The sequence below is a fragment of the Homo sapiens genome, chromosome 7 (genome assembly GCF_000001405.40).
Source record: "Homo sapiens chromosome 7, GRCh38.p14 Primary Assembly".
NCBI classification, from domain to species: domain Eukaryota; kingdom Metazoa; phylum Chordata; class Mammalia; order Primates; family Hominidae; genus Homo; species Homo sapiens.
Genome location: NC_000007.14, coordinates 93,815,953 through 93,821,198, shown reverse-complemented (window position 1 = coordinate 93,821,198; position 5,246 = coordinate 93,815,953). Strand labels below are relative to the sequence as shown.

The 5,246-nt window shown below is 36.2% G+C and overlaps 1 annotated feature.

The window, feature by feature from the left end:
- Positions 3,698–4,263: an enhancer, noted in NCBI's record as "OCT4-NANOG hESC enhancer chr7:93446248-93446813 (GRCh37/hg19 assembly coordinates)". NCBI's record gives its function as "activates a minimal SCP1, AML or CMV promoter by ChIP-STARR-seq in primed H9 embryonic stem cells {active_cell/tissue: H9 hESC(primed)}" and the evidence as "EXISTENCE:reporter gene assay evidence [ECO:0000049][PMID:30033119]".

Genomic DNA, 5,246 nt, shown 5'->3' with positions numbered 1-5,246 from the left:
CACCATGATCTTTCACAGCTCCAGGTCTTTCTGCACAAGCTATTCTCTCAGCCTGGAATATGCTGTGTCAGTCAGAATTAGTTAGATTATTTTGTAATAACAAATAACCTTACACACATCAGTGTATTAAAAAAATAGGAATTTATTTTCATGCATGCAACATGGGCTGGGGAGGCTCATCTCATTGTAGTCACTCTGGTTTCAAGACTGGGAGAAACTTTATTTCAACATGTGCTTCCATGATCACTGCAGAAGTGAGAAAGGATTATGGCAAATTGTGTACTAGCTGTTAATTTTTTTACCTAACAGCCATAGTCATCCATTGAACTCCTATTTTATTGGCCAAAGAAAAGCAGATGGTTATTTCAAAATTGAAAAAGGGGAGAAGTGCAATCCTAGCATGGAAAGAAGAAAGCCAAATATTTTTGATGAAGTGCTAATAGCTACCACAGCAACCTTTTCAGCAGGTGAAGTTTCACTCACTTTTCCTGACCAAATGTTACTTCCTCTGAGAAGCCTGCCATGACATCTCAAGACAACTAACTGCTTCCTTATCATTACCCCTCAAATATTTTGTACAAATTTTCTTGGAATATTCAATATATATTATAATAATCTATTATCATGCCTGTATCCAGAATTATATTAAAAATTCTGTATCATATTTTTCTACCAAATTCCTGGTGCAGTTGCAGCACATGTTGGATGCTTGCTAAACGCTCATTGGATGTTTATTTGCACATTTTCTTCATTAGACCATAAGCTCACTGAGGACATAGACTATGTACTTATTATGTACCACAATAATCCTAGTGTCTTGCAACAATACTTGGCACTAGTGGATACTCATTATATGTCAGATAAATAAATTAATTGATTAATTATCTTTGTTATTATAACATGGCATATTAATAGGGTAGACTAGATCATGCTGCAGTAACAAAACTGCTCCAAAATATTAGATAAATTCAGCAAAAGTTTATCACTTGTTCATTTTACATATTCTGCACGGGCGAGAAAGGGGCTCAGACCTATGCTGATCTAGGACCGACTGTCTCATCGCTGGAATATCTGTAAGTCTAAGGCCTTTTAAGTTATCCTGGCAGAGGAATAGCAACCACAATAAAATATAATAAGTGCCATGTGCTATGAAAATTATAGCCACCTCCCACCAACACACACACACATGCACACGCGCGCGCACACACACACACACACACACACAGAGAAACAAGTAAAGGAGAGGGATCGCCTTGTGTTTGTTATCATCTAATAATGGCAGGGTCCACAAATCGTGACATCATCACATCTCTTTAGAGCTCAGAAATGTACCTTCCAGGAATTATTAGGCACACAATCAACTACAAAAAGCAGTGCCTTTGTAATAGCTAAATCGTATTCTTTGAAGTTAAATGCATATTTGGAAGGCTACCACCCAGACTTCTTGAAGGGTCTCAGGGTGAGAATCTAAGCAGTTTTTACCTTAGGAATCAGATAGTTCTGCACTTATATGTTCTATGGTCTGATGTGCCGATCTATTAGGAGTCTAAGAAAATAAAGGTGCCAAGAGGGGCAAATTAGTTCAATGACAATACTTTCCATCCGATATGGTTTTTCTGCATCCCCACGCAAAGTCTCATGTTGAATTGTAATCCCCACATGTCAAGGGAGAGACCACGTGGAGGTAACTGAATCATGGGGGCAGTTTCCCCCAAGCTGTTCTCATAATAGTGAGTGAGTTCTCACGAGATCTGATTGTTTTATAAAGGGTTCTTCCCCCTTTGTTCATTCACTCTTCTGTCTCCTGCCGCCATCTGCCACCATGTGAAGAAGGTCCATGCCTGCTTCCCCTTCCACCGTGGTTGTAAGTTTCCTGAGGCCTCCCTAGCAATGTGGAACTGTGAGCCAATTAAACCTCTTTCCTTTAAAAATTACGCAGTCTCAGGTACTTCTTTATAGTAGTATGAGAACGGACTAATACACCATCCAAGAGACGAATGCTCTCAAGACACCTGGCAATGTTATCTGAGACATCTAGGACATTAATAGATGAAATAACAACAGCAGGGATTCAATTGTTAGATGATTCCGAAATCAAAGTGTAGATGGAAATTTTTGCTACATTGTTTCGAAAATCATCTCCTGAGAGGACAAAATTAATAACAAAATATAACTCAGCATTTTACTATTGATGATAAACTTTGTTCCTTGAAAAAATCGTTTGCCATCCTGTGAAGGTTTTCATATGACCCAACCATTTAAAGGACACATCTCACTAAGCTTCTGAACTTGAAAGTTGACTATAGATTGAGCAATCAGAGTAATAAGGACTTTTAAATAAATTCCACTTCTAGTTATAGTCAATTAAAACTCATCTCATTGATGTAATTTTGCATTGACTTATAAGGAAATAAATTAGCACTTTGAAAATAGTTTATTTTCCTTTGAATCTCCAAAAATTTTCAGAATATTTTACCTGGGGGTGTCAATAAATGAATGATAATAATAAATGATATAATAATGACATATGATATATGATATAATAATGATATATGATATAATATATGATATATGATATAATAATAATAAATGATATAATAAATGAATCCTTTTGAAGACCTGAATCTGTACTTTCAATAAGTGTTACTGGAAAAATTAGTATTACTCCAGGCCTAGAGTGTTTGAACTAGTGTTTGTGAATGATTGGAGTGTAAGTGATATTAAAATTAGATATGGCTAAGAAAATTTCTACCATTCACCAAAGCAACCTTTAAACTATGAAGCAGAATTTTGAAAATGAGAAAAATAAAAGAACTAGAAGGTACCCTAAGAGATTATTTTATTTATTTCCAGATAGAGATCTACTATCTATATTCCTGGCAGAAGTAGTGTACTTTGGTAAGGAACAGATAAGACTTTTGAAATAACTGGACTTGAACCTTTGTTCTTTCATGGCCTGAATTTGAGTAAAGGCATTATTTTTCTGAACCTCAGTTCCCTTATTGTAAGATGGAGACAATAGTGTATTTCTCAGAGAATACATTTAAATATCAAATGAGACAAATTATCAGAAAGTACTCTTTAAAGTCTAAATTTCCATAAAATTCATTTATTAATTTAGCTAATGTTTGCACAGTACTCACTCTATGCCAGTCGTTGTCCTAGGTACCACGTGTTAGACAGACACACTAATCCATATGGTATATGGTGTGAATGTTGATTATGTAAGTTCTTATCTTTTAAATTAGGCTTCTTAAATTTCCACAAGATTAGAGAAATAAAAGCCTCACTTTTCAGGAAAAGTTGCATTTTGAGGCTCTTTTCATTGCTTTTGTCCTTTTGTTTCCCTTTGGAAGGTTTTATATTTATAAAGCTGTCCCAGCTGTCCTCTGAAGTGACTCATCATAGCGTCTTCCACAGTAGGACATCCTCTCAACTCCCCTAAACTCATATAGTCTGTACTTTTTCTTGGCAATTCACTCCACTATGAATAGTTCTGTCCAGAAGTCCTTTTATAATAAGGAGTCTGACTCAATTTTTTAATGTTTAGATAACATTTAAGCCTTACTCTTTCTTTTTCCTTTTTTACTCCACATCTGGGCAAGCTGATAAAAAAAAAAATCCCAGATCTTCCCTCCTTTAGAAGAAAATTCAAACCATATAAGCCCCCTCCGATCACTCCTTAATCACCATAAAAACTGTAAGCCAGCCTCCTTTTTCTATTCTCTCAATTGATTTTTGAACCTGTTTGGGGAGATTGCTTTCCTCTCCCCAGAAAGCCTTACCATATTAAGTAATAAATTTTTGTTATACCCTTTTGGTGTGTGTCTAGGGTCTTCATACTTGACATTCAAACCAAATTTTGGTAAAGATCTATTCTGTCCCTATGGCATGGCCCCTGTTTCCACAGGATGCTGACAATTTGCTTTGAGAGTGGGATGTATAGACAATGGGCACCATTGCTGGGAGTCTTTCTTCTCTTTCTTTGGCTGCCTAATGGCAAGCATACATTTTGAGCTGCTCCTGCTGAGTAGCCTGTGCTTTGAGCTGTGCAGCTTTGTGCTGCATTTGCTGCATTCTACTGAGCCTCTGTTAGAGGTTTAACCAATCTATATCAGAAATTTTAGTAACTAATTGAGTTTTTAAGAAGGGAATATAGGTTTTAGGACAGCATTAGGGTGGCCCTGTGTCATCTGTTTTGGCCCAGACCTATCTGTGTATTTTAGATGAAATCATGTGTTTCAATTCTAGCATAGCATGTGACTGTCATTAGGTGAAGGGAACAATCCTTATCCTGTGGCCAATTGTGACCTGGTGTGTTTCAAACAAGTATAGGCCTTATTCTACAGCTAGCTCAGTACAAAGACTATACCCTGTGAGATATATAGCTTTACTGAGTGCTCACTCACATGGAGGATAAATGGCCCCTATTTGAATAGAAGTTATTTGAAAATTTGAATTATTAGTGTCTATACCCAAAAAGGCAGATGGCTCATTAGGACTCTACAAAATGCCTTTGCTGGTGCTGCTGCTATTCTCTTACATCTCTTTTGCCAAAAAGATTCTCACCTTTAGGAGTATAGAGAAAAACCCATGGCATTCCTGTGGCACAACCAAGGGTTAATTCAATCATTGTTATTAAGGAGGCTCCTAACCCGGACAATACTGATTTGAAGATTTCTGGAAGAATCCAGAATATACTAAAAGAATTTAAACAACAAAGATAAAGAGATACTGACTTGCTTCTATGCCTCTATAATGTAGGATTTTAAATTAACTTTAAGAAGCTGAGATACACCAGTTGACAAACCTTCACGGCCATAATCAATACTGGGGCTTGAATTACAGTTATACTTGGGGAATACCACTAAATTTAAACAAAGTACCCCCATAATCTCAGGGGAGTTACTGAACATAAAATAGAGGGCACTTTAACCTTTGATACTACTACATTACCTAAATTCTTCATATTCAGAGCACCCATGGTCCCAAAATATTGCATGGTGAGCAGAAACACTCTGGTCTAACATGGAGTAAATTAAATTTAAGTCTTTGTCATTACAAATTTACTTGAGAAATAGGACTATATAGACATGCCCTCAACCTATTCCTCTTAGTTGAAATAGTCAATGTGGCTTAATGTAAATTAAAACAGAAGCCTTCAGCACCTATTATTATACAAGACCTATTTACATAAAGACCTGTTTATATTTAGTATCCCCACTTCTCCATTTAATAGTAAAATT